The 27479-nt window shown below is 48.0% G+C and overlaps 4 protein-coding genes across 60 annotated transcripts in view, besides 3 other annotated features; 2 read left to right on the top strand and 2 right to left on the bottom strand.

Moving 5' to 3' along the window:
* Window positions 1–13990, bottom strand: part of STK36 (serine/threonine kinase 36) — a 30632-nt gene extending 16642 nt beyond the window's left edge. For 4 of the 7 annotated variants that reach the window (XM_011510959.3, NM_015690.5, NM_001243313.2 and 1 more), the window contains exons 1-11: window positions 13861–13990; window positions 13163–13335; window positions 12311–12451; window positions 12120–12197; window positions 10603–10733; window positions 9798–10047; window positions 6815–6908; window positions 6347–6516; window positions 5996–6183; window positions 5374–5473; window positions 848–991 (exon numbers count right to left, since the gene is read on the bottom strand). In XM_011510959.3, the coding sequence (XP_011509261.1) occupies window positions 848–991; window positions 5374–5473; window positions 5996–6183; window positions 6347–6516; window positions 6815–6908; window positions 9798–10047; window positions 10603–10733; window positions 12120–12197; window positions 12311–12451; window positions 13163–13246 (1380 nt within the window). In that variant the 5' untranslated portion in view covers window positions 13247–13335; window positions 13861–13990. Of the gene's footprint in view, window positions 1–847; window positions 992–5373; window positions 5474–5995; window positions 6184–6346; window positions 6517–6814; window positions 6909–9797; window positions 10048–10602; window positions 10734–12119; window positions 12198–12310; window positions 12452–13162; window positions 13336–13710; window positions 13759–13860 lie in introns of those variants that run through there. The other 3 variants (NM_001369423.1, XM_047443931.1, XM_017003804.3) reach the window with 1 other exon arrangement.
* Window positions 14070–14169: an enhancer, noted in NCBI's record as "active region_17128". NCBI's record gives its function as "activates an Ori minimal core promoter by ATAC-STARR-seq in GM12878 lymphoblastoid cells {active_cell/tissue: GM12878}" and the evidence as "EXISTENCE:reporter gene assay evidence [ECO:0000049][PMID:35858748]".
* Window positions 14074–22184, top strand: RNF25 (ring finger protein 25). Of its 2 annotated transcripts, none has more exons than NM_022453.3 (10): window positions 14074–14146; window positions 17397–17471; window positions 17735–17837; window positions 17930–17997; window positions 18095–18164; window positions 19846–19917; window positions 20017–20160; window positions 20829–20921; window positions 21203–21337; window positions 21541–22184. In NM_022453.3, exons 1-10 carry the CDS (start codon window positions 14106–14108, stop codon window positions 22117–22119), a joined length of 1380 nt encoding a protein of 459 aa, NP_071898.2. In that variant the 5' UTR covers window positions 14074–14105; the 3' UTR covers window positions 22120–22184. The 2 variants fall into 2 exon arrangements, with proteins under 2 accessions (NP_071898.2, XP_016860184.1); XM_017004695.3 differs by having other exon boundaries at window positions 14074–14217.
* On the bottom strand, window positions 22633–27333 carry BCS1L (BCS1 ubiquinol-cytochrome c reductase complex chaperone). Of its 29 annotated transcripts, NM_001371449.1 has the most exons (10): window positions 26333–26393; window positions 25858–26039; window positions 25655–25769; window positions 24769–25137; window positions 24531–24670; window positions 24123–24317; window positions 23816–23879; window positions 23397–23566; window positions 23076–23193; window positions 22633–22942 (listed from the first exon to the last, which is right to left on the bottom strand). In NM_001371449.1, exons 4-10 carry the CDS (start codon window positions 25086–25088, stop codon window positions 22690–22692), a joined length of 1260 nt encoding a protein of 419 aa, NP_001358378.1. In that variant the 5' UTR covers window positions 25089–25137; window positions 25655–25769; window positions 25858–26039; window positions 26333–26393; the 3' UTR covers window positions 22633–22689. The 29 variants fall into 29 exon arrangements, 28 of the variants coding, with proteins under 28 accessions (NP_001358378.1, NP_001358377.1, XP_047301341.1 ...); NM_001371448.1 differs by lacking the exon at window positions 25858–26039 and having other exon boundaries at window positions 26265–26393; XM_047445385.1 differs by lacking the exon at window positions 25858–26039 and having other exon boundaries at window positions 26274–26393.
* Window positions 26270–26399: an enhancer, noted in NCBI's record as "active region_17127". NCBI's record gives its function as "activates an Ori minimal core promoter by ATAC-STARR-seq in GM12878 lymphoblastoid cells {active_cell/tissue: GM12878}" and the evidence as "EXISTENCE:reporter gene assay evidence [ECO:0000049][PMID:35858748]".
* ZNF142 (zinc finger protein 142) overlaps window positions 26453–27479 on the top strand; it is a 26295-nt gene continuing 25268 nt past the window's right edge. For 4 of the 22 annotated variants that reach the window (NM_001379660.1, NM_001105537.4, NM_001366289.2 and 1 more), the window contains exons 1-3: window positions 26453–26707; window positions 27041–27096; window positions 27200–27375. The gene's annotated coding sequence lies outside the window, so the exon portion shown is untranslated. Of the gene's footprint in view, window positions 27097–27178; window positions 27376–27479 lie in introns of all 22 variants that reach the window. The other 18 variants (NM_001379662.1, NM_001379659.1, NM_001366287.2 and 15 more) reach the window with 8 other exon arrangements.
* Window positions 27210–27329: an enhancer, noted in NCBI's record as "active region_17126". NCBI's record gives its function as "activates an Ori minimal core promoter by ATAC-STARR-seq in GM12878 lymphoblastoid cells {active_cell/tissue: GM12878}" and the evidence as "EXISTENCE:reporter gene assay evidence [ECO:0000049][PMID:35858748]".

Below are 27479 nucleotides of genomic sequence, written 5' to 3'. Positions count from 1 at the left end.
TCCCAGTCACTCCAGAGGCTGAGGCAGAGAATTGCTTAAACCTGCGCGGGGCAGAGGTTGCAGTGAGCCGAGATCACACCACTACACTCCAGCCTGGGTGACAGAGTGAGATTCCGTCTCAAAAAAAAAACCGTAAATGGGTATGAGGGATTTTACTGGGGTGATGAAAATGTTCTAAAACTGAACTATGGTTAACAGTTTTTAAATTAGCAAATTTACTAAAAATCATTTATCATTCATCAAAAAAGTGTAAATCTTATACATAAATTATACCTGAATAAAGTGATATAAGCAACACAGTTTGGCGAGTACCCAGGAAGGAAAAGCACTGTGTTTCAGAGGAGCAAAGTAAGGTTTTGTAGGAGGGAACACTAACTTTACACTAACTTTGAATGCTAATTAAGCAAAATGTCATTCCTCTCCCCCGCAAAATAACCTCATTCTTCTCACTAGTGTACCTGTAGTACAAAATATTGTATATTTAATTGTTACATTTATATTTTTAATTTCATCAATAAAAAATTAGTGAAAATGTGTTTTCCCTCATTATGTAAGTACTTAACATAATATCCTCCATTTTTGCCTGGTGGCTCACAATGCCTAAAATATTTATCATCAAAAAAGTTTGATCCCTATTCTAGTAGGCATTTTTCCCTTCAGAAAAAGAAACCTGAGGGCTGCTCTTTCTGTGTTACTAAAGGAGGTTGGTAAACCTCCTCAAACTAAGCAGATAGACTGAAGAACTGGAAAAGGACAAACTTTCTCTTTCTCCTGAAGTCAGTGTATTTCAATGCTCCATCTGTGAAAACAGTCTTGATCCCATCCACAGTGTCTTTCTCCCCATTACCTGCCCTCCAGCTTCATGCAGCTGACTCTGGATGCGCTGGCAGAAGTCAGGATTACACAGCAAGGTGAGAGGAGCCTTCAGTTGAATAGGCACAGGCTCAGTGGTCTCTAGCAGGTGCTGCCACTCATTGTCACTGTCTGGCTCCTGAGGCAGAGGGGAGTGAAAGGGGTCAGGAGTAGTGTGTAAGTCTAAGGTAGTAGATCCCAACCAGTAGAAACCATGGGGAATCATGAAGTAACTGCAAGGAGCCAGTGACCCCTTTAGCACAGATGTATATCTTCAGTCACCTGCTAAAAAAGGTACAGCTGGCAGTCTGTGAGGGGTCTGGAAGAGTCTCTTGGAGAACACCGGCATGTGTGCATAAAGAGATACCTAGAAAGACGTCCGCTGCAGCATGGTTTGTAATAATTTTAAAAAGGAAAAGATCATAAAGTCAGTCACTAAGGGAATAATAAACCAGGGTCCATCCATATTAGAAAATACGATGAGGTTATTAAAAAGATTGTGAATGCCGGGTGCGTGGCTCACACCTGTAATCCCACCACTTTGGGAGGCCGAGGCTGGCAGATCACCTGAGCTCAGGAGTTCAAGACCAGCCTGGCCAATGTGGTGAAACCCCCCTCTCTATGAAAATACAAAAATTAGCTGGGTGTGGTGGCACATGCCTGTAATCCCAGCTACTCAGGAGGCTGACACAGGAGAATTGTTTGAACCCGGGAGACAGAGTTTGCAGTGAGCCGAGATGTCACCACTGCACTCCAGCCTGGGTGACAGAGTGAGACTCTGTCTCAAAAAAAAAAAAAAAAAAAAAAAAGGCCAGGCGCAGTAGCTCACGCCTATAATCCCAGCACTTTGGGAGGCTGAGGCAGGCAGATCACCTGAGGTCGGGAGTTCAAGACCAGCCTGACCAACATGGAGAAACCCCACCCATCTCTACTAAAAATACAAAATTAGCCGGGTGTGGTGGCAGATGCCTGTAATCCCAGCTACTCGGGAGGCAGAGGCAGGATAATCGCTTGAATCCAGGAGGTGGAGGTGGCGGTGAGCTGAGATCGTGCCATTGCACTCCAGCCTGGGCAACAAGAGTGAAACTCTGTCTCAAAAAAAAAAAAAAAAAAAAAAGATCGTGAGGCTGGGCACATTAGCTCATACCTGTAATCCCAGCATTTTGGGAGGTCGAGGTAGGAGGACTGCTTGAGGCCAGGAGCTCAAGACCAGCCTGGGCAATATAGTAAGGCTCTGTCTCTTTAAAAAAAAAAAAAAAAAAGTGGCACATATACACCATGGAATACTATGCAGCCATAAAAAATGATGAGTTCATGTCCTTTGTAGGGACGTGGATGAAATTGGAAATCATCATTCTCAGTAAACTATCACAAGAACAAAAAACCAAACACCACATATTCTCACTCATAGGTGGGAATTGAACAATGAGAACACATGGACACAGGAAGGGGAACATCACACTCTGGGGACTGTTGTGGGGTGGGGGAAGGGGGAGGGATAGCACTGGGAGATATACCTAATGCTAGATGACGAGTTAGTGGGTGCTGCGCACCAGCATGGCACATGTATACATATGTAACTAACCTGCACATTGTGCACATGTACCCTAAAACTTAAAGTATAATAATAATAAATAAATAAATAAAAATAGGCCTGGTGCAGTGGCTCATGCCTGTAATCCCAGCACTTCAAGAGGCCGAGGCGGGCAGATCACAAGGTCAGGAGTTCGAGACCAGCCTGAACAACATGGTGAAACCCTGTCTCTACTAAAAATACAAAAATTAGCTGGGCATGGTGACAGGCACCTGTAACCCCAGCTACTCAGAAGGCTGAGGCAGGATAATCGCTTGAACCTGGGAGGCGGCGGTTGCAGTGAGCCAAGATCGTGCCACTGCACTCCAGCCCAGGCAACAGAGCAAGACTCCATCTTAAAAAAAAAAAAAAAAAATAGCTGGGCATGGTGCCATACACCTGTAGTCTCAGCTACTCAGGAGGCTGAGATGAAAGAATTGCTTACCCCATGAGTTCAAGGCTGCAGTGAGCCATGATTGCACCACTATAGTCCACCCTGTTGTCCAGGTGATAGAATAAGACACTGTCTCAAATAAATAAATAAAAAGATTAAGGTACTGAGGATGTATCACTTATGTAGTATTCCTACCAAAAATATATACAACCTGAATCTATTCATTAGGAAATAATCAATTTGAGGAACATTCTACAAAATAACTGACGTGTACCTCAAAACTATCAGTCATAAAATACAAAGAAAGACAAGAACTGTTCCAGATTAAAGGAGACTAAGGAGGCATAACAACTAAATGCAATGTGTGGGCTGGGCACAGTGGCTCACTGTAATCCCAGCACTTTGTGAGGCTGACGCGGGCAGACCACTTGAGTCCAGGAGTTCAAGACCAACCTGGACAAGATGGCGAAACCTTCTCTCTAAAAAAACACAAAAATTAGCCAGGCATGGTGGCAGGTGCCTGTAGTCCCAGCTACTCAGAAGGCTGAGGCAGGAGGATTGCTTGAGCTCAGGAGTCGGAGGTTACAGTGAGCCGAGATCACATCATTGCACTCCACCCTGGCAACAGAGTAAGACCCTGCTCAATAAATAAATAAATAAATAAATAAAGCAAGGTGTGATACTGGATTGGATCATGGAGCAGAAAAAAAATTTTCATAACGCACATTACTGAAGCAATTAGCAAAATTTGAATAAGGATTACAGATTAGTTTAATTAATCTATTATAACAGTATTATATCAATGTTAAATTTCTGACTTTCATAATTGTACTGTGTTAGTGTAAGTGAAGGATCTTGTTTTAGGAAATATGCGCTAAAGTATTTAGGGGTAAAGGGGCATGTGTACAACTTACCCTAAAATGATTCAGAAAGATGCTATGTCCATAGGGGGAGAGAGAGAGAGAGGATGGTAAAGCAAATGAGACAAAAGTTTTACAACTGATGAATTTGGGGTAAAAGTGTTGTTATAGGCTGGGTGTGGTGGCTCCAGCTTGTAATCCCAGCACTTTGGGAGGCCGAGGCAGGCAGATCACCTAAGGTCAGGAGTTTGAGACCAGCCTAGCCAACATGGTGAAACCCCATCTCTACTCAAAATACAAAATTAGCTGGGCATGATGGCACATGCCTGTAATTCCAGCTACTTGGGAGGCTGAGGCAGGAGAATCGCTTGAACCCAGGAGGCAGAGGTTGCAGTGAGCCAAGATCGTGCCGTTGCACTCCAGCCTGGGCAACAAGAGCAAAACTCCATCTCAAAAAAATAAAAAAAATAAATAAAAAGTGTTGCTATGGTTTGAATGTTCTGTCCTCTCCAAAACTCACGTGTTAGAAACTTAATCCCCATTGCACCAGTGTTAGGAGGCAGCGCCTAATCAGAAGTGTTTAGGTCACAAGGGCTCTGCCTTCAAGAATGGACTGATGCTATAAGAAGGCCTTGCAGGAGTGAGTTCATTCTCTTCTGCACTTCTGCAAAGTGAGGACACTGCATTCTTCCCCTCTCAAGGACTGGGCATTTGAGGCACCCTCCTGGAGACTATGACCCAATCTGCTGGCACCTTGATCTTGAACTTTCCAGACTCCAGAACTGTGAGAAATAAATTTCTGTTCTTTATAAATTACCGTCTTAGCTATTCTGTTATAGTGGCACAAAACAGACTAAGACAAGGGTATACACAGGAATTATTTGTGGTATTCTCACAATTATTCTTTAAGTTTGAAATTATTTTAAAAAAAAGGCAAAACTCAAAAAAAACATATTAATAAAATGTTGTAGACCAGGCACAGTGGCTCATGCCTGTAATCCCAGCACTTTGGGAGGCTGAGGCAGGCAGATCACCTGAGGTCAGGAGTTTGTGATTAGCCTGGCCAACATGGTAAAACCCCATCTCTATTAAAAATACCAAAATTAGCCACGTGTGGTGGTGGGCACCTGTAATCCCACTACTCAAGAGGCTGAGGCAGGAGAATTGCTTGAACCCAGAAGGGAGAGGTTGCAGTGAGCCAAGATTGCACCACTGCAATCCAGCCTGGGCGACAGGGTGAGACTCTGTCTCGAAAAAAAAAAAAAAACGATTGTGGTAAAACTACATGCTCTGGTGTAGAAAGATCCCAGATTATACAGTGAAGGAGGTATGATGTAAAACAATACATATAATAAAACTCAGTAATGTAAAAACAGCAAACTATAAATGCCTATGTTTGCTTATGCATGTGTGTGAAATTACAGAAAGTTTGGGAGGAGACGGACTAAATTAATAACACTGGTCACCTTGGAGACTGATTCAATGAGGACTTTCATTTTTACCTATGTGTTTCCATTTTAAATAATTATATGTTCAGATACTGTACAATTAAAATCTATAATAATAAAGCAATACTTTTTAACACAAAGGGAGCTCATACTTAGGGAGTTGGGAATCACTGTTCTAGAAAAACATCTACCTAGACTTAACATCCCATGAAAGAGACAAAGTCAGTAAGAGACCCTAGGGCTCACCTCATTTTCCAGGTCCACTACATCAGTGCTCCGCTGGCCCAGCACCTCTGGCCTCTCCTCTGGGAATGCTCGTTCACAATCTGGGGTGGTCCGGTTTTCCCTGCCGGAGGAAGCCAAGGGGTAGAACGGGTTCCAAACCTATGACTCTTAGGGTTCGTTAACTTGTCCCTCTCTGTAGACCCAGGATAAGAATGAGAAAGAAGCCATATAGGATTGACTAGAGGAGACTTCTTTCTGGGATGTGGGATATGACCAGTACAGGATATGTTGACGACTACACAAATATCCTTAACTGTCTTCTCACTTTAGAGCTTATTCTACTTTGCAGTTTTCACCTATGGCTTTCAACTCAAAACAATCTTCCCTTTTGGATGGAGATGATCCTTTCCCTTTCAGCCAACCTTTCAGTCAATGTACATAAAGAAGAGAAAGTCCCCAAGTTTCCTGATGAATCAGAAAAACATCTATAATTAGAATCCAAGAATCCAGGACTCAGACTCTCGAGGCTCTATCCATGTTTAGGCAGTGGCTAGTGACAGGGACCATTCTGTATTTGCTTTGGCTAGAGTTAAAGATGTGCAAGATACCTCACCCTACAAATCCCTAACTATACCCTTCTCACCGAGGTGCAGAGGGCACCTCTCCAGTCCCTGATTTAGCCCAGCTGCTCTTCAATTCTGAGGCTAAGATCCCGGCCAGGAGGCTTGATTCCTGAGGAGTGGCCCCGAGTCTGGGCAGAGGGGCTGTGCCAGGAGCCACCTTGCTGGTCTTGTCCTCTTGCTCAAGGGCAGGTCCTGTGTTCTGATGTTTCTGTGGGAGGTAGGGGGCAACACTGAATCAGAGCTATTTGATTGCTATAGGACAATATGAATGCTATTCACGGCCCTTCTCCAACCCTAGAAAGTCACCCTCCTCCTCTAACTCCCCAGTCACTAGCCTGGTCATTTCACATATTTTCCTCTGCCCCACACACCTTCTGCATGGCCTCCTCAGCCATGCGTTTATAGGCCTGAGTCAAGATGCGAGACTGATTACCCTTGGGGGCCAACCGATGGGCCTGTTCGTCCTTTAGGACCTGAAGTTCTGGGGGTAGGCGGCTGGTGAATGGGGTCCCCAAATCTGGGCCTGCTGGCTCAGTTATTACTGCAGGGAGGGAAGAGGAGGAAGACATGATCATGGGGGCCATAGTCCCTGTGTCCACTTGGCCAGGGACAACTTCAGTGTCTCCAGGCTTCTGTGGAAGAAGATCATTTTGAAAAAGTGACAGAGAGAGAGTGGGTTGTAAGGGAAGTGGCAAAGGTTAAGTGAAGGGCTAGGAAGAAAGTTCAAGCTGCTGGAGGAAAGACGACATGTTATATCTAGATGGTCGGGGAAGTGAAAGGGAAGTAGTTTAGAGGAAGTACTGGGAAGTCCAAGAGCCCTGGGAACCCTGATGACTCACTGGTGACATGACCAGCAATAAAGGGGTGATATAAGAGGTCTGGCCAGGACAGTCGCTGCCGTGGGTCTTTGGTGAGCAGTCCCTGCAGGAAGTTCTACAGAGAGAAAAAATATTCCATCAGTCATTCTTTCCCTTCCCTTAAGTCTCTCTCTATCAGCAGAACTAGCAAACCAAGAATCCCACATCCATCCTCACAGCAGATGAGCTGCTCTTGATCATGCCCTCTAAAAACTTTGTTCAGGTCCCATTTTCCTGGCTGAAATCATGGACAGACCACTATCTTACCTCCTAGGGAGAGGACCCCAAATCCTGTTCACAGACATTTTGTATTCCCAAATGTAAAAACAAATTTTAATGCACCAACTTTGTAAAGAAGGGAGAAAAAACACTGGGAGAAACAGATGTCACCTTCTTAATGATCTTCAGACAGCAAACATTCAAAGAACTCCCAAACTATTCACGCTGCCCTCCCTTTGACTATGGTTTGTTTGTGGCTGGGTAGGAACAGATGCATTTTTGGTTACAAGTAATTCACACGCACAAGTAATTGCATGAAGGTGTGTTTGGGAGTACTCAAAAACAGAAATCTTTCTGCAAGTCTTCAGAGGTGGAGAGATAGGGAGACAGTCTCTGAAAAGGATACACCTTATCCTTATCAGGAATCTTTGGGGAAATCCTCAATTGGGCCTCAAATAGGAACAGAGGTATTAGTAGATTATGACCACTGTTCTAAAACAAAGTGAGCTGTATAACTATGGATCTTGCTGGAGATACCTGAGTATCTGCCCATAGGGAGAATGAATATCCTATGTGCACCGCTTCCACTTAAGATTCCTTCATTTAGATTATTCTTGACAATTATTCGGGCCCCCTCAACTAAACAGGGGAGGAATTTGTTGTCCCTTTTCATCTCAGATAAAGCAAAGCTACAATAAGGTTTCACTCTGGGAGAAGACTGCATTTAAATTCTATTGAAAATCCATAATCTTGCCCTACATAAAAAATAAAAGAAGGTTGGGTGCAGTGGCTCATGCTTGTAATCCTAACTCTTTAGGAGTTGAGACAGGAAGATTGCTTGAGGCCAGGAGTTTGAGACAAGCCTGGGCAACACAGTGAGACCCTGTCTCTAAAAAATTTTAAAAAAAATTTAATTAATTAAAAAAGAAATAGAGGCCAGGAGCAGTGGCTCACGCCTGTAATCCCAGCACTTTGGGAGGCCAAGGTGGGCAGATCGCGAGGTTGGGAGATTGAGACCATCCTGGCTAACACGGTGAAACCCCGTCTCTACTAAAAATTACAAAAAATTAGCCAGGTGTGGTGGTGGGCACCTGTAGTCCCAGCTACTCAGGAGGCTGAGGCAGGAGAATGGTGTGAATCTGGAGGGCGGAGCTTGCAGTGAGCCGAGATCGTGCCACTGCACTCCAGCCTGGGTGACAGAGTAAGACTCCATCTCAAAGAAAAAAGAAATAGAAAAGAAGTCCAACTCCTCTTCTACTCTTCCCTCCTCCAGACTACTGACTTAGTCACAATGAGTAGGCACCACCTCTATCATCTGCCCCTAATCACTGAACCAGCTCCACCAGCTCTCACCATTCTGATAGCTTTGGACTGAAAGCTATGTAGATAACATCTAGAATGTGGACATAGCATCTGACAGGAAGTAAGTGGAATAGATGGCATGTAAGAGGACCAGTATCGATCTCTAGTATCTTCCAATTACCTTTTCATTGTGATAAAGCATAGCCTGGCTCAAACTGGAGTTACCATTCTCAGGTTTGGCAAACTTTAGAACACCCTCCCAGAATTAAGACCCTGCAGTAGAAAAGCAAGGCTGCCTGGCCCAGCTCTGGCATTGATATGGTTTGGATTTGTGTCCCCGTCCAAATCTCATGTCGAATTGTAATACCCAATGTTGGAGGAGGGGTCTGGTAGGAGGTGACTGGATCATGGGGGAGGACTTCCCCCTTGCTGTTCTCATGATAGTGAATGAATTTTCACGAGATCTGGCTGTTTAAAAGTGTGTAGCCCTGGCCGGGTGCAGTGGCTCAAGCCTATGATCCCAGCACTTTGGGAGGCCAAGGCAGGCGGATCACCTGAGGTTGGGAGTTCGAGACCAGCCTGACCAACATGGAGAAACCTCATCTCTACTAAAAATACAAAATTAGCCAGGCATGGTGGTGCATGCCTGTAATCCCAGCTACTCGGGAGGCTGAGGCAGAAGAATTGCTTGAACCTGGGAAGCAGAGGTTGCGGTCAGCCGAGATCGCGCCATTGCAGTCCAGCCTGGACAACAAAAGCAAAACTCTGTCTCAGGCTGGGAGCAGTGGCTCATGCCTGTAATCCCAGCACTTTGGGAGGCTGAGGCAGGCGAGTCACGAGGTCAGGAGATCAAGACCATGCTGGCTAACACGGTGAAACCCCGTCTCTACTAAAAAATACAAAAAAATTAGCCGGGTGTCGTGGTGGGCACCTGTAATCCCAGCTACTCAGGAGGCTGAGGCAGGAGAATGGTGTGAACCTGCAAGGCAGAGCTTGCAGTGAGCCAAGATCACGCCACTACACTCCAGCCTGGGTGACAGAGCGAGACTCTGTCTCAAAAAAAAAAAAAGAAAAAAAAACTGTGTCTCAAAAAAAAAAAAAAAGCGTGTAGCACCTTTCCTTTCTCTATCTTCCTCCTGGTCCACCACGTAAGACATGCCTGTTTCCCCTTTGCTTTCCGTCATGATTGTAAGTTTCCTGAGGCTTCCCCAGCCATCCTTCCTGTACAGGCTATGGAGCTGTGAGCCAATTAAACCTCTTTTCTTTATAAAATACCCAGTCTCAGGTGGTTCTGTATAGCAATGCGAGAACAGAATAACACAGCCATTAATTCAGTAACTGCAAAGTCCCGCCTCAGCTCTGGAAAAGGATTTGGAAAAAGGAACAGAGATAGAGGGAGACAGATTTCTAATGTAAAAGTCATCTCCCTTTCAATATTCATTACCTTAAAGCAGGGACTGATGGTTGAGGGCCAGCGCACAGGGTCCTTGAGAATGAGGCTGACCAGCTGAAAGATGCTTGTAGCATAGAAGGGAGGGGTGCCTACTGCCAGTTCATATAGTATGCAGCCAACAGACCAGAGGTCCGCTGTGTGGTCGTATGGTCGCTCCTCCACCAGCTCTGGAGACATATAGAGTGGTGTGCCTTTGATGGATGTCAGCACCATTGTATTGGTGCTCATAGCCCGGGCAAATCTGCAGAAGATAATGGGATGGAAATGGAAAGGGAAAAGATATTCTAAACCTGGTCACTACTACCTAACATAGAGATATCCCAAACCGGAGCAGAGGGAGCACCTTTGATTAGGTTCCAGAAGACCCAGCAGCAGTCCCAGCCTCTAGCTCCGGTTCTAAAATGAGGCCCAAATAAGTCAAGAGTATGGTCTAAGATTCCCTGTGGGGCCAGGCTCAGTGGCTCATGCCTGTAATCCCAGCACTTTGGGAGGCCGAGGTGGGCAGATCACCTGAGGTCAGGAGTTCGAGACCAGCCTGACCAACATGGAGAAACCCCATCTCTACTAAAAATATAAAATTAGCCAGGCATGGTGGCACATGCCTGTAATCCCAGCTACTCTGGAGGCTGAGGCAGTAGAATTGCTTGAATCCGGGAGGCAGAGGTTGTGGTGAGTGGAGATCGCACCATTGCACTTCAGCCTGGGTAACAAGAGTGAAACTCCATCTCAAAAAAAAAAAAAAAAAAAAAGATTCCGTGTGGAACTGGAAGCTTAGATGGATGCTCAGAATCTTTACCCAAAGTCACAGAGCTTGATGCCACCACCCTTGGCGAGGAGGATGTTCTGAGGCTTCATATCTCGGTGTAGGATGCGGTGGGAATGCAGATAGTACAGGGCTGACACCAACTGGGCAGCAATGGCCTGAACCTAGAAATTAAAGAGGTGGAAGAAAGAAAAAAAAGGTTAGAAACAGCAGCTGGCTGACAAGCCCAAAAATTTCTCTTAATATTACTGCTAATCTTTTCTTCCTTCCCTTTCTTGCAGAGCTTCACACTATTCTTTCTTAGTTATTGTTCCCCTTGTTTAATCACTCTTTCATTTGCTCATTCATTCATTCAAGAAAAATTTATTGAATCTCATTTACTATCTGCTTGACCATGGGCAAACTAAGGTGACAATCTATATAATAACACCATCTACATGGAGGATTATTGTGAGGACTGAGTTAAAGCATGCAAAATAATACTCAGAATGGTGCCTGGCACATAGTAAATATTCAATACACATTACCTGTTATTAAATAAGACAAAATGCCTTTTTTCAAGAAAAGTAGTCAGACAAACAAACAAGACAGATAAAACAAATATGGTGGTCGGGCGTGGTGGCTCACACCTGTAATACCAGCACTTTGGGAGGCTGAGGCGGGCAGATCACCTGAGGCCAGCAGTTCGAGACCAGCCTGGCCAGCATGGTGAAACCCCATCTCTACTAAAAGTACAAAATTAGCTAGGCATGGTGGCGCATGCTATAATCCTGGTTACTGGGGAGGCTGAGGCACGAGAATTGCTTGAACCTGGAAGGCGGAGTTTGCTGTGAGCCAAGATTGTGCCACTGCACTCCAGCCTGGGCAACAAAGCGAGACTCTGTCTCAAAAAATAAAATTCAATTAAAAATAAAATAATTTCAAAAATATGATTACTTACAAATAGTGGTGAGTGCTCAGAAGGAAAGAGAATGCTGCAATAATGAATCCCAGGGGGGGCCTACTTGCTTGGGTACAGACAAACGCCTAGAATAAATGTGGCTGGAGGATATGTGCAACAAAATCCCACTGCTAACCACTACGTCCTGGTGCCAAATCCTGACTCCCCACAACCTTTATTCTTACTGCCCTCTTTCTGGTACCATTACACTGGCCCTTCTTCCCTAAAGGTATCTAATAACAATAATGTTAATAATAGCTAACTATTCAAACACATTACATGACTTAACACTCTTCATCATAGACTTATCAGGCAAACATGATTATTATCTCCATTTTACAAATTAGGAAACTAAGCACAAAGAAATTAAAGTAACTTGTCCAATGAGACCCAGCTAGGAAGGAGCAGAGCCAAGCTTCCTGCTCAGATATTTTGACTCCAACGTTTACATAATTTACTCCCACACTACACTGCCTCTATATACCTAGACTCTTATATTCTTCTCAGAAGTCTTTGAAATGGAGACTCTCAGTGTCCTTAGCTTGCTCTACCAGTTCTCTAACCTGGAGAGAGGTCGGAGGTGGGGAGAAGTTGAAGGCAGAAAGCATACCTGGTCTTCAGGAAGTTTTCCGTCATCTTCTAGGATCTGAAAGAGCTCTCCCTCAGCATAGTCTGTCACCACCACCACCTACAGAGAGAAGGCAGTGGCACTGATGGCTCCAGATTCATGCATTCTGAGGTTGGGAAATTCCTGGAACCCTTGTGCTTGGGGAGACAGGGCCCAAAACTGTCAAAGCACACCTCTTTATCAGTTTCAAAGCTGTCAAGCATATGCACAATGTTGGGATGCCGCAGACCCCGCATTATTTCAATCTCTCGTTGCAAATTCCTCAGCTCCTTCTCTGAGCGCCCCAATTTTGGGATGAACTTCAGGGCCACGACCTGTCAGTGGTAAGGTGAAAAGTTAACGCCTAATCACACTACTGAAAAGATCTAGAATTTCAGCCTTAATCTCAGAGCTCCAGAAGTCAGATTTTAGAGTGTTTGAGTAACTCTTATTATTTCTGTTAGTCTCCCGCTTCCATTTTCTCCATGGTACCCTGGCCTTATCCAGGCTTTCCCCATTCCTCATCCCAGGAGGAAACAGCATCTGCAAAACATTTCCCCTTCTGGAAGAAGTGTTCTGATTTGACCAGCACTCAAGATGAGATTTAGGAGAAAGGAAAGGAAAAAAAAAATGAAGAGGAAATAATAGAGTTCAAGTGGTTTACCTCTTATTACATGGTGTGCTAGAGACTAATAATATTTGTTGTTTACTAACAGCCAGGCACTGTACTAAGTGATTTAATGTGAAAACATATTTAATCCTCAAACTCCATCAATCAGTTGCTGTTCTTATCCCCATTCTAGAGATAAGGAAATTGAGACATAGGGAAGTTAAGTAATTTGTCCATAATTCTAGGGCTAGAAAGCGGTGGAGATGGAATTTGCACCCAAATAATCCAACTTCAAAGCTTATACTCCATAAGAAGTATGAGGGAGTCAGTACCTTAGGAATACAAACTGGTATAAATACATTCCTTCTAGATCCATTTTCCACTGGAGTTGGGGGTACCAAATCCCACCCAAAAGGTATCCCTCTTTGTGCAACACCTGAGCACTGTATTTTCTTCGACCCTTGTACACCCTCCCAAAAGAGCCTTCTCCAATCATCTCCAACACGTGGTACTTTTCCATGACAGAGGTTTCAGGATCTCTTAGAAGGAAGAAAGTAGAGACGGTGAAGAGCTATAGATCCAGGGACAGTTCCACAACATCTGGGACGCCTAGTTGGGGCACGGGAAAGGAAAAATGTTAGCCACCTTGCCTTTTCCTCTTTTTCACAATAAAGCCTCAAAAAACATGGGAGGGTGGAATGCATGCAAAGATGATGCGCTCTTGGAACAAACAGAGCTTCTCTTTGTAGTTCCTCCCCACTTTCATCCTCCTGTCCCCAACCCGGCCCCATGCCCAACTAACACCTGGTTCCCCTTCTCCCTCACCCAGCCTGGCTCACTCGACCCTACTCTTTCAACCTAGCCTCGCCCAACCAACCCTGCTCCTTTGAGTCTCCCCCAAGTTCCTGCCACTCCCAGACTCCTCAGCACCCGCTCTCAGACCCCCTGGCCCGTGCGCTTCGCAGGCCAGAGCCCCTCTCTCACCCCCAGCCTAGGAGCTCCAAGCTCCTCAGGCCAAGGGACGGATTCCCTGGCGTTTAGCCCCATCTCTTCTGGCTGCCTGCATACGTTGCCTGACTTATAATTCTTCTCCACCCGCCTCTCCCTCCGGTCTCTTTCGGCTCCCTTTCTTACAATTTTACTCGCTAGAACTGGTGAGAAGTTCAGAGGACAAAGGCGCTCAGAGGTGTGGAATGGACGGCGGACCACACATGGGCACTTCCTGGGACACATCCGAACTGCCTCAGGGCCATCAGGCCCGGCTAAGGACCCGGAGTCTGCGGTTGCCTAGAAACGACGCTAGCTGCCCACCCCTCTTAGTTTTCCGCCTCCGACTTCCCTAAGGGCATTTCCGGTTCCGGCTGCGGGCCGGTGAAGATATGGCGGCGTCTGCGTCTGCAGCTGCAGGGGAGGAGGACTGGTAACTTTGGGGGCATGGGCTTTGGCTGACAGCCTGGATCTAGTCCAGAGGCCTAGCAGCTGTCGCAGACGGTCCGTACGGCGGGCGTGTGGGGTGGAGCGAGGGATGAGGGATGGCAGAGATGCTGACATCTCTGGGAAAGCTGGACTGGGGAACGGGAGGGTGGAGGGGCGCTGATCTGAGTGAGAGGAGAACGGGTCGGCGCCCGCCAGGCCAGTTCAGGCCTCGCCGCATCCGGTTCGATCCCTTTTCCTCCAGCTTCACGCCATCCCTTTCTCTCCTCCTCAAATGAATTTTCTCAGGGGCTTTGGGGGATGCCTGCCCATCAGACCTCCCCATCTCCCTTTCTCCTCTCAGAACCAGTGCCCTCCAGTTCCGGCCCCCTTTCCCCTTGGATCAGCCTTTTTCCGCCGACGCTTTCCTCAGCCTTCTCTCTCTCACACAGCACTAGTGAGGACTATTGTATGAATAAAGCTTTACACTTCATATAAAGTCCCTCTAGTCCTTCTCTCAAGCATTCTTAACCAAAGACTAGAACATGGAAGGACTCTGGGATTTGGAAGTAGGATCAATGTGGGTTAACTCCACATTTTATTAGCTGTGTGATGCTGAACAGGCCATCTAGCTTCTGTGAGTCAGTGTCCTCAGCTGTAAAAAAAAAAAGTGGGTGTGGCATTTACCTCAGAATAGTTGAGAGGATCACGACGGATTTGTAATATACTTAAGTCTGTTTTTTGTTTTGTTTTGTTTTGTTTTTTGAGACAGAGTCTCACTCTCGCCCACGCTGGAGTGCGGTGGTGCGATTACGGCTCACTGCAGCCTCGACCTCCCCAGGCTCAGGTGATCCTTCTGCCTCAGCCTTCCGAGTAGCTGAGACTACAGGTGTGTGCCACCATGCCTGGCTAATTTTTGTATTTTTTGTAGAGACGGAGTTTTGCCATGTTGGCCAGACTGGTCTTGAACCCCTGGGTTCAAGTGATCCTCCCACCTCAGCCTCCCAAGGTGCTGGAATTACAGGCGTGAGCCACCACACCCGGCCTCCTTTTCATTAATAACTGAGGTGCAGGCACCTGGGAAGACTAGATGAGTCCCAAAGAAGTAAAGTGATTTGCCAAAAGATAGAAAATTATGAATAGAAATCCATATCTGTCTGACTCCACACCTTAGATTCTTTGTACTAGGACATTCTTCAGTCCCCACTCCCCCAATTTTTTTTTTTTTTTTTTTTTTTTTTGAGACGGAGTCTTGCTCTGTCGCCCAGGCTGGAGTGCAGTGGCGCAATCTCGGTTCACTGCAAGCTCCGCCTCCCGGGTTCATGCCATTCTCCTGCCTCAGCCTCCCGAGTAGCTGGGACTACAGGCGCCCGCCACCACACCCAGCTAATTTTTTGTGATTTTTAGTAGAGACGGGGTTTCACCCTGTTAGCCAGGATGGTCTCTATCTCCTGACTTCATGATCCACCCGCCTCAGCCTCCCAAAGTGCTGGGATTACAGGCCTGAGCCACCGCGCCCGGCCCCCCTCCCCCATTTTGTTGTCACCACCTTACCACCATCCCATCCAGGACCCATATAACTAGGGTGGGCGAAGTATTGAAGGGCCACTTGACTGAGGCTACACCTCAATGTTACATTGGTTCAGGGAGCCCAGCTAGTACTGGCCGTTATTAAGAGTATCTAGACTACTGGTTTTCAAAGTGTTCAGGGAAACTTCTTTTTTTTTTTTTTTTTTAAGAGACAGAGTCTTACTTTGTCACCCAGGCTGGAGTACAGTGGCAAGATCATGGCTCACTACAGCCTCGACCTCCTGGGCTCCCGTGATTCTTCTGCCTCAGTCTCCCAAGTAGCTGGGACCACCGTGTCCAGTTAATTTTTTATTTTTTGTAGAGATAGTGTCTCGCTTTGTTGCCCAGGCTGGTCTCGAACTCCTGGCCTCAAGTGATCCTCCCACCTCAGCCTCCCAAAGCGCTGGGATAACTTACAGTTTACCTGTTCAGGGGAACTTTTAAGATTCAGGGGAGACACCTTGAGCCATGGAGACAGCAACAATGAGTGCAGCAGCCTGTAGTACTGTGAGACTCCCACTCCCATGTCAGCCAGAACTACACTGTTATCTGTGAGGTGTGAAGCTTTATATTTTATATTTTGAAGTTTCTGCCTAAGACTTAACAACACTGACATAGGTCGTGCTGGGGCAGCCTTACTCTTAGAATGAAGAGGGAGCAGTGTGAGAAAGCAAAGTGTGCATTTTTCCATGTATCACTTGGTAGAGCTGTAGACACAAACTGATCACTCAGCTTCAATTTCATTACAACTGCTGTTTCTATGCTTAAGTATGTGTGTCCCTTGATTTACATCAGAACCATGGATCCTAACCTCAACAGGCTGATCTAGATCAACCAGACAGCCAGGTCATAAATACATCCAGAGTACTCTATTACCTCCTTCCTTCCCTCTTTCCTTCTAAGGGAGAAGGTTATATACAGACAGGAAAAAAAGAGGACGTAGACTAGCTACGATAGCCCAGATACTATTAGGTACTTTATGTAAACAAATCACCTTTTATCCTCACAATAACCCTAGAGAGTAGGTGTTATTATCTATATGTGACAGACAGGATAACTTAAGCTTACAGAGAGGTCACGTCCCAGATTGCATAGCTTGTAAGTGATTGGTACCTGTTAACTAACTCCGAGGCTGCTGGCTCTTCCATTACAACACAGCCTTTATACCACCCTAAATATGTTGTGTTGAGGTTGCTATCTCCTTTAAGAAGGCTTAGGGTGACTGGTGTTAAAACTGTATGTAGACAGTAGCCAAGGCACTGGGATCCACACTGGACAGTGACGTAGGGAAAGGTTGGAGTAATATTGGTAACGTTAATGCTAATGAATGAGTGCCATATCTCTAGACCAGAGATTCAGCCACTAAGGGGAATGAAACTTAAACAGGGAGTCAGGAAACCTGGCTCTGGGCCTAGTTCTACCTATGTTAAGCCTTGGTTAGTCATTTTACTTCTCTAGAATCCACTTCTTCATCTGTTGGCAGAAATGATGCCTAAAATTCTGATTTCCATGCCTTCTATTTGGCCAGTTGACAACTTAAGGTAACATATTCCTTGTTTTTAAGGAGTTTAGCAGGAGAATGCATTCTGGTAGATTGCCATTTTTCTACAAAGCCTGCCTTTATTGGCCTTAGCAGGCTTCCACAGGGAGAGCTGTAATGGTAAGTTAGTCTACTCCTGTCTCTCTAGGGTCCTTCCCTCTGAAGTTGAAGTATTGGAGTCCATCTATCTAGATGAACTACAGGTGATTAAAGGAAATGGCAGGTATGTATTCAACCAGTGGTGGGCAGGAGTCCCCCTAGTAATGAGGAGAGGTTCTATGCTGAATTTGGGTCTTAAGACATTGTGAGCCTTGATTCAGAGATAATATTTCTCTTGTGTAGACAAAAGCTATTCCTTTAATCCTACCCCAAAAGAAAGAGTCCAATGTGTACTTCCTTTGCCCACTTCACTGTCTCAGCCCCATCCTCCCCAGCCCCCAAGCCCCTACCCAGTCACATCTGCGTGTCCACTTGATCCACCTGCAGAACTTCACCATGGGAGATCTACATCACTTTGCATCCTGCCACTGCAGAGGACCAGGATTCACAGTATGTCTGCTTCACTCTGGTGCTTCAGGTCCCAGCAGAGGTGAAGCCCCTACTGTGTGGCAGCAAAGGGAGGAAGGGGAGAGTCCCTGGGGTGGACCGCTTCAGCAGTAACTTGTTATTTGCCCCCACTAGTATCCCCATGAGGTGCCACAGATCTCTATCCGAAATCCCCGAGGACTTTCAGATGAACAGATCCACACGTAAGTTGAACCTGTCAGAACAGGGAAAACTCAGCTACAGCTTTGCCCGGTGACAGAAATGGGCAGGTCTAATATTTGGTTTGCCCTCTTCCTCCAGGATCTTACAGGTGCTGGGCCACGTGGCCAAGGCTGGGCTGGGCACTGCCATGCTGTATGAACTCATTGAGGTAAGAGGTGCGCTAGTCTGAGATATGTTCTTTCCTTCAAGCTAGAGCAGTTTCTAGCTGTAAAAGGGAAACCATGGGCCTAGAATCTTAAACGGATCTGGAGTCATTAGGTAAGGCCTAAATTAATCCAGAGAAATGAGACTCTTCTATTTGAAAAACTTCCCAAAAGACAGTTCAGTAGCTTCTCCAAGTTGCCTATGCCAGCATCTTGACAGAAAATGACTTTTCCTCTTCACCTTGAATTTTTCTTGCATCAGTTTCAGTATATGTCTTGTTCTCTTGGCACTGGCAACTGAAAGTGGCAAAAGATACGCATCTTGCTTGGGGGCGTCTTAGCCATAAATGAACATTTGAAGGCTAGACTGCCATTGGACCTGACTAGAAAAAGTCATGGTTGGCCAGGCACGGTGGCGGGCATTTGTAATCCCAGTTACTTGGGAGGCTGAGGAAGGAGAATCGCTTGAACCCGGGAGGCGGAGATTGCAGGGAGCCAAGATCATGCACTGCACTCCAGCCTGGGCAACAGAGTGAGACTCCATCTCAAAAAAAAAAAAAAGAAAAAGTCATGGTTCCTTTACTGAAAGAGCTTATACACTGCTTGATGAAACAACCCACATGAAGCAACACCTGAAGCTCCAATATACACAGAAAACTTTTATTGTTTGAGATTAAAAATATAAAATTAAGTACAGTTTTATTTTCCCCTAGTTTGTTTATTTATTAATTTTAATTTTTTTTTTTTTTTTGAGACAGTCTTAGTCTGTCACCCAGGCTGGAGTGCAGTGGTGTGATCTCAGCTCACTGCAACCTCCGCCTCCCAGGTTCAAGTGATTCTCCTGCCTCAGCCTCCCAGATAGCTAGGATCACAGGCATGTGCCACCACACCCAGCTAATTTTATATTTTTAGTAGAGATGGGGTTTCTCCATGTTGGCCAGGCTGGTCTTGAACTCCTGACCTCAGGTTATCCACCTGCCTCAGCCTCCCAAAGTGCTGGGATTATAGGCATGAGCCACCACGCCCAGCCTCTCTTAGTTTAAATTTTTAAGAAAAATGTTCAGAATAGAATGAAGGTGGGTGGCTGAGAGTCAAAGAGAGTGGGTTTGATAGGCCACCGTAGCAGTCCTAGGTCAGGCCTCCACAATGCAGCCTTGGACTTTGTGGAATTCCAGAGTACACTATTAGCTATTCAAATAACAATTCAAATGCATAGTTCACAGCCCAACTCAATGCCTTGTGAATTCTCTGTCCATTTGGGTTGTCCATGCCTTGTCATGCTTTCTGAAAGCTGACTTAGAACAAACACATTGCCCCATGGGGGAGTGATATTGAAGGGGGCTAATCAAGAAAGGCCTCCCAGAAGATAAATTTTAATTGAACATTTTTTTTCTCAAGGTGTATTATTTTCATCTCCAAGATATATTAAAAGTGACTTAATGAAAGGAAAAACAATTAGGTTGAATTTTGAAACCAGGAAGATCAAATTTTGGGGGAGGGGCAGAGATGTGGAGAAGGATTGATTCCCAGCAGAGGGAGCGTCACCAAGCCAGAAATGCATAAACACAAGGTAACAAACTGGCCTGCTAGGAGCCAAGTCTAGCCAGTCACTCCTAGGAGTAGTAGACAGGCCTTGCTCACCGTTCTTCCCCCTACCCCCGTTTAATCAGTGTCTTCTCTCCTCAGAAAGGGAAGGAAATTCTCACAGATAACAACATCCCTCATGGCCAGTGTGTCATCTGCCTCTATGGTTTCCAGGTGGGTTTCTCTCTTGGGACCTGGCATTCTGTTTGGGACCAGCAGATGAGGGCTGTGAGAGAGCTCTGACTTAGTGCCCTACATCTGCCTTCCCTCTAGGAGAAGGAGGCCTTTACCAAAACACCCTGTTACCACTACTTCCACTGCCACTGCCTTGCTCGGTACATCCAGCACATGGAGCAAGAGCTGAAGGCACAAGGACAGGAGCAGGAACAGGAACGGCAGCATGCTACAACCAAACAGGTAGACCTCACTGCACCTGCACACTCATCTGACACCCTTAGGCACAGCCTTTCACAAACTTTTCCATCTCTCCACTCCAGTGGCTCTTCACTTTTTCAGGGTCATAGATACCCTTGAGATTAATGAACTCTTACCTCTGTCCAGAATAAAGGGCATCCTTTTTTTTTTTTTTTGAGATGGAGTCTCACTCTGCCACCCAGGCTGGAGTGCAGTAGCACAATCTTGGCTCACTGCAACCTCCGCCTCCTGGGTTCAAGCAATCCTTCTGCCTCAGCCTCCCGAGTAGCTGGGATTATAGGTGCGAGCCACCACGCCCAGCTGATTTTTGTATTTTCAGTAGAGACGGGGTTTCACCATGTTGGCCAGGCTGGTCTCAAACTCATGACCTCAAGTGATCCCGCCCGCCTCGGCCTCCCAAAGTGCTGGGATTACAGGCGCGAGCCACCGTGCCTGGCCAGGGCATCCTTATATACACTTACATATTGCATGCAGTTTCGGGGGGTTCCCAGATCTCTAGTTAGACAACCCGTGCTCTGTCCCAACTCACTGCTGAACCGGTGTCCCTGTGCCCTTTAGTCCCAGCCCTCTGCAGATTAGGTTGGCTGATGGGTCAGCACCAGGGGGCATCCTGGGCTGTGACACAGGCATATGATTTTTCTCTTTTTTAGAAGGCAGTCGGTGTGCAGTGTCCAGTGTGCAGAGAGCCCCTCGTGTATGATCTTGCCTCACTGAAAGCAGCCCCTGAACCCCAACAGCCCATGGTAAGGAGACTTTTTTCCAATCTGAGCCAGGAGTAATGGTATTTTCTAAAGAGTAAGGAATGGCATCTTGTCTGTGTCAAATGGGATCTCTGAAATTGGGCTTGAACTGCCTAGGACCTCTCTGCAAAGCCACATCCCCCACTGGCGGGAGCCTAAGACTCTGGGAGCCCAGACCTGAGGGGCAAAACCAGTGCAGATCTCCTGAGGCAGCCTGGGAGGAGTAGAGGTTTGAGTCAGCCTTCTGCTGTTCATTATTTCCTCTCTGCCATTCTTCCTTCCAGGAGCTGTACCAGCCCAGTGCAGAGAGCTTGCGCCAGCAAGAAGAACGCAAGCGGCTCTACCAGAGGCAGCAGGAGCGGGGGGGAATCATTGACCTTGAGGCTGAGCGAAACCGATACTTCATCAGCCTTCAGCAGGTGAGGGAAGGGCTTCCCAGTTGTCCTGTAATGCCACCAACCTTTCTACAAACCCCAATCAGCCATGGCCCCAGAGTGAGCTTTGTTCTAACCAGGAAGATGATAGGCTGATCGTGGTCAGCCCAGATAGTAGGAGAGGGGCCTGTAGTTCCCCACCTTGAGGAACTGCATCTCCCTCACTGCATCTTGTCACTTATTTCTAGCCTCCTGCCCCTGCGGAACCTGAGTCAGCTGTAGATGTCTCCAAAGGATCCCAACCACCCAGCACCCTTGCAGCAGAACTATCCACCTCACCAGCCGTCCAATCCACTTTGCCACCTCCTCTGCCTGTGGCGACCCAGCACATATGTGAGAAGATTCCAGGGACCAGGTCAAATCAGCAAAGGTTGGGCGAAACCCAGAAAGCTATGCTAGATCCCCCCAAGCCCAGTCGAGGTCCCTGGCGACAGCCCGAACGGAGGCACCCAAAGGGAGGGGAGTGCCACGCCCCTAAAGGTACCCGTGACACCCAGGAACTGCCACCTCCTGAGGGGCCCCTCAAGGAGCCCATGGACCTAAAGCCAGAACCCCATAGCCAAGGAGTTGAAGGTCCTCCACAAGAGAAGGGGCCTGGCAGCTGGCAGGGGCCCCCACCCCGCAGGACTCGGGACTGTGTTCGCTGGGAGCGCTCTAAAGGCCGGACACCCGGTTCTTCCTACCCTCGCCTGCCTCGGGGCCAGGGAGCATACCGGCCTGGTACTCGGAGGGAGTCCCTGGGCCTGGAATCTAAGGATGGTTCCTAGCAGGACTTGGTGGGGGGAACAGGGAATTGGGGATGGGAGGGAGGCAATAAAGATATTTGGCCTTCTTTGGCTTTCTTTGCTTAGCAGCGCCTAGCCTGTGAGGAATGGCTCTTTTTCTCAATTCCTAATAAGATTGGGGTGTGGCAGAGCAGCCCCCAACTTTGCTCTGAAGTCTGTTCTCCGAAGAGCTGGGTAAAGAGGGTCTGACATCTCATCAGCTAGTATAGTGAGTTTCAGGGAAAACTAGTGGGATGTCAGCATGTAAGCAGAGTCCTTAGGACCCACCGTTAACAACTCATTGTGTACACACCCATGCCTGTCCATTATTTATATACATAGAATGCCTTTAGGTAGAGGAATTTAGTTTCCTGTTTTGTGTCTCATCTCTTTATCTTAGGCTATGCCCCATCATTTGTATATGTGGTTGCCTGACTGACCCCTGTAGGCACCTGTGATTGCAGCCCGTCTTACTCAAGTACCAATCCAGTGATGAAGGGAGATGAGAGAGCAGAGTAGTGTGGCAGATGTTTATTGAGCTAGAGGAGGAGAGCTGAGCTGAGCCCAGCCTGATCACCTCCTCAGAGACTCAGCATTGTGAATTGCCCCTACAGGGTCATTTTTATACAGCATGAAGTAGCCCTGCACCTGGGCAGGACTGATCTGGTTTGTAGCTCGAAGGACATGTTCTGCAAAGTTCTCAGCTAAGGAAGGTGCCTGCCCTGGATAGAACCTCTGGAACATCTGGGTCAGCTGCCAGTGTGAGCAGTAGCCCACGTACTCCTTCAGGTCCACTCGCCCCGGGCGTATCAGGGCAGGGTCCAGCCTGAGAGAAGACAGGGAAAGCAGGTCACACTAGCACCCAACAGAGATGGCCCCTCGACCTCCTGTTCCTCCCAAGGCACTAGGGGAGGAGGTGGGCTCTTGCCTAAGTCTCAGGATGCCTGGCTCCTTCCTACCTGTCAACGTGGTTGGTGGTCATGAACACGATGCGGGCCTCGGTGGAAGCCACACCATCCAAGGCATTGAGCAGTCCACTGAAGGTGAGGCGACCTAGGCCTTGGTACTTTACTGGGTCTGGAGGAAGGCAAAGATAAGGAAGCATGAGTAGTCATAGCCCAGCATAAAATTAGCATGCCCCACTATGTTCCCCTACTTATCCATGTGTCTTGTGGGCTCTTGTCACTAACCCAGGCATCTTCCACCAGCCCTCTGGATTTCTGCTTTCTTCCCCTGTTCCACAGTTACCCACTCCACTTCCTCCAGAACCCCTCACTTACTCTCCACAGCCAAGTCTCGACTGAGAAAAGCAGCATCCACATCCTCCAGGAGTACCAGGCTCTGCTGCGGGGCCACGCTCAGCAGGTGGTTGAGTCGGTCATCAGAGAGGCTGGAGTCCGTGAGGCTCAGCAGGCAGATGCTGTGCTCCAGTTCCCCAGCCAGGGCTGTGCTATGGAGCATGGGATGGCAGGAGGTAGCAGGCAACCTGGAAATGCTTCCTCAGGCCCAGCTACTCTCCTCACCGCCTGGGGACATGTGTCTCAGAGGCCTGACTTCTACCTCACACCCTGATGTTCCACACGTTTCATGTTTATCCTGGTCCCCGATCCCCAGATTCATTTCCCCTTCCAACCCTATCAGCCTAGTGTTTCCACAAAGGCTTCGTTTTGCCAAGTTGAGAGAAATTTTGAATACTCACATAAAACTGCTCTTTCCGCAACCAGGGGGCCCATAAAGCAGGTAGCCACGTCTGTAAGGAATGCCTAGGGATAGAGCCAGGATGATCATGTCTTTTGCCCCGGATATCTACGTTCATTCCCAGCCCTGCCCCCTGGAAGCCTGATAACCTTGGTACGGAAATAAATCATTCTCATACACAACTTTTCATTCCTCTTAATCTCTGGGAATTGGACTAGAGCTTTATATCACCCCATCTGGCTGGAGACCAACCTGTCCCTTCTAAAAATGTCAAAAACAGCACAGCCAAGACCCCAGCTGCTTCTCACCTCTGTCAGTGTACCACTTGGGGTTATCGATGAATTCCTGGACGTCTCTGACAATTCGGTCAGCCAGACCCTGTTGTAGAACCACAGAATTCAGTGGTCGCCGGCGGCGTGGATAGCCAAAGGGACGCCATTCAGAGCCCACAGCTGTGTACATCACGGTCTTCCCTTCCTCCTGCTGCAAGGCTAGCTCTCGAGCTGGGAAGGAGAAGATGAGATAAAGCCAATAATTCTCTTCACCATGGCTGATTCTTCAATTAGGTGGAGCTGTGCCAAACAGCTTCCTTCTGGCCCCCTGTTCCCATGGGCTCACCCCGGCCTGCTTATTCCACTTCTCCAAACTGCTCATCTGATGTCAAATGTCCCCATCCCTGCAATGTCCCTAGAAAGCCTGCCTGTGCCATCCCACACCTTCCTCCAGGATGTTGAAGAAAACCTTTCGGTCAGTGCCCAGGGCCGTGAAGGTGACAGATTCCCAAGGAGTCCCCGTCTGCAAGTCTATCATCTGCATCTCTCGACTTCGTTCTACCCGAATCCATTTCCCCCGATACCTGAATAAGAACGATCAAAACTGAGTGAGTGAATGGGTCAAACCCAGCTCCCATCATTCTTTTCTACTCTCACAGCCCTCCCTAGCTCCCCACCTTACCAGATAAAATGGTTTCCAGGGCTGGGGACAAATTCAAACTTAGTGGAAATGCGGCCACTCTCATGCTGAAGGTACGAAGTCTCGACACTGAGGTGCTGAGTACGGGTACTGTGGCGGGTGAGCCAGCTAAGCAACCAGGCATAGCTCCTGTCTCGAGCAGGGACTTCCAGTGTGATCATGTAATGGCGCCGGAATGCCACCAGGCCCAGTTGGACACCCTTCCGGGCCAGGGCCAGGGCTGTGCCCACACCCACCAGCCCAAATCCAGCCCCAAAGTAGGGATTGTCCTTCAGAGCCAGAATAAAGTCTGAAAGTGGCATCTTGAAAGGGAAACACCAAACCTTACAGGCCCTGGGGTGTTACGAAAACCTAGGGGTGGGGAACAGTGGAGATGGGACAAAGCACAGATTAGAAATTGGACCTCCCCAGCCCTGGCCACAGGTCAGCATTACTGTGTGGGTCAATACCCTCCTTTTGTGGGGTAAGGGTGGTATTGGAATGCAAGGGTGGAGGCTCCAGGTCCCTCATCCCATTTTGTCCTTCATTAGTCTACTCATACCTGTTTCCTACCAGAGGACCATGTCTGGAGATGCCTTAAACCAAAAAGAGCTATATAAACAGGCTTCACATCAGGGTAATGGATGGACAGGATTTTTGTGGTCCCTGGGACCAGCTATGATAAAAAGGGGTCCATTGGCTGCAGTCAGCAAGGGAGAAGCGTCCGTTGACTTGTCAGTAACCCTATGTCTTGTTATGAGTAATGTCCTTCAAATATCCTCCCCCTTACGTCCCCAATATTTAACGTCTTGTTTAGACCTTTATTACCTCCCACCTAAACTGTCTTTAAAATCGTAGTTCTTGAAATGGCATTTTAATAGGTCTTCACCTCCTGCTTCACGGAACATCTACACAAGGGTCCAGATCTTTCATCATAGGGATCAGCTCCAATACCATATCTCTCTCTGCTCCAGCACCTTCAATGGCTGGCTCCCAGCAGACCCCTGAATTGGGTATAAACTCAGCCTGGTACTCAAGGCTCTCTACAATACGGCGCCCACCTACCTTTCATGGATTAGCTCCTAACACTACCTGTTTAGCAAATATGCAAATACGCAACAAATATGTTCAACAAGTAAGCAACCTCCCAACTCCTTGCTCATGCAGTGCTCTTGGCTCGGAATGCCCGTTCTTTTCTCCCTCATTCTCCCCAAATGAAAATCTGCCCATCTGCTACTTTCTCCACGGATCGTCACATCGTAGACAATAAGATCCTGAGGGACAAGAGCAAAGTTGTTTCTAGTACACCTCTCCTCCAACCCCGAACCCCGGCCACTTTGCCCTGCGCCTGGCATGCAGGGAGGTGAGCTGACAGCAGTGACCTCGGCTGAGCCTCAGAACTGGGATCCAGAATTCCAAAACACCTATGCATGGAAGGCCACAGACAAAGCTCTCCCGTCCCCGGCCCCTCCGCGACACCCAGGAACCCCCTCCTGAACCTCGCCCACACCCCAGCTCGCGCCTCCAGCCACATGGTTTGGGGTAACCCGTCACTCAGCCCTCTCACCGCCGTGACTCTCTGGCCCTCCGTCTCGATGGTTTCACCGCGCCTGCACCTTGGGGAAGCTGCGTTCGGCCCCGCCCCGGGTCCTTTCATCTACTTCCCGCCACACCCACAGAGAAGCCCACGCCACTCTACCCCAGAGCTCTCGATGGTGCTTCTCCGGCTTCAGGGCTGGAGTGGGGGTGGAGGGCGGGAAAAACCACAGAGACAAAACATAGAGTACCCCGGCAGCCGGCAAGAGGAAGAGAGAGTGGCTTCCACATCCCCAATATCCTAGAGGCGGCTGAGCCGGAGGCGGTCGCACAAAGCGGGCCCCGGGGGCCGTTCCAGCCGCGGCCGACCATAGAGATGCGGCTCCCGCCGGCTCTGGGTCTGGAGGTGAGTGAGCGGCTGCGGGGCGGAACTGGGAAGGGAATGCGGGTGGAGCGAGCTGGAGGCAAAGTTTTTCGAGCCCCGGGATCAGGGTGGGCCTGGGCGCTGGGAACTCTCGGAAGGAGGTACTGAAGGGAGCACCCAGACGAGCTGGGCCCCGGCGCTGCAGTCGCGTCACGGTTCTGGACCCCGCCCGGGTACCTGCTGCTCTCAGGACAAAATCATGACGATGCTCCATCCCAAGCCTTCCAGGTTACAAACCGCCTTTCCAGTTCGCTGGCTCTTATGATCCAGCTCCTGCCCGACGATGTGGACACTGTCATCACCTCCATTTTACAGATAGGAAAGCTGAGGCCCAGAGAAGCGAAGCGACTGTGTCTGTCCAAGACCACGCGGTGAGTCAGAGCCAGAGGCAGGTGGGAACCTGGGTCGCTAGGCCGGGGCCCGTTGTTTCTCCAGGCCTTCTCTCTGCCTTAGTCTGTCCTTTCTCTTCCTCAGCCCTCCTGCCCGGAAGATAAGCGTATTTCTTCTCTGGTGCCCACCTGTCTCCTACCTCACCCTGCCCTCCCGCAGGTGAAGGTTCTTAATCTTGACGGCTCAGCGTCCTCCTTGGCTCCCCCCGGAGGCCATGTATGGTCAAGCTTGAAGATTCCCCAGAACAGCGATAATATTCAGTAAGTGGAGGCTGCAGTTTCCAGAGAATCCCTCTGACCACGGGAGTGCACTTTCCAGCCACCTTGTGAATCCCTGTGATCTGTTGTTTTGAGTCCATGGGATT

Source organism: Homo sapiens, chromosome 2, assembly GCF_000001405.40.
Source record: "Homo sapiens chromosome 2, GRCh38.p14 Primary Assembly".
Taxonomy (NCBI): Eukaryota; Metazoa; Chordata; class Mammalia; order Primates; family Hominidae; genus Homo; species Homo sapiens.
The sequence above is the reverse complement of the archived record's forward strand: the minus strand, read 5'-3'. Positions and strand labels throughout refer to the sequence as shown.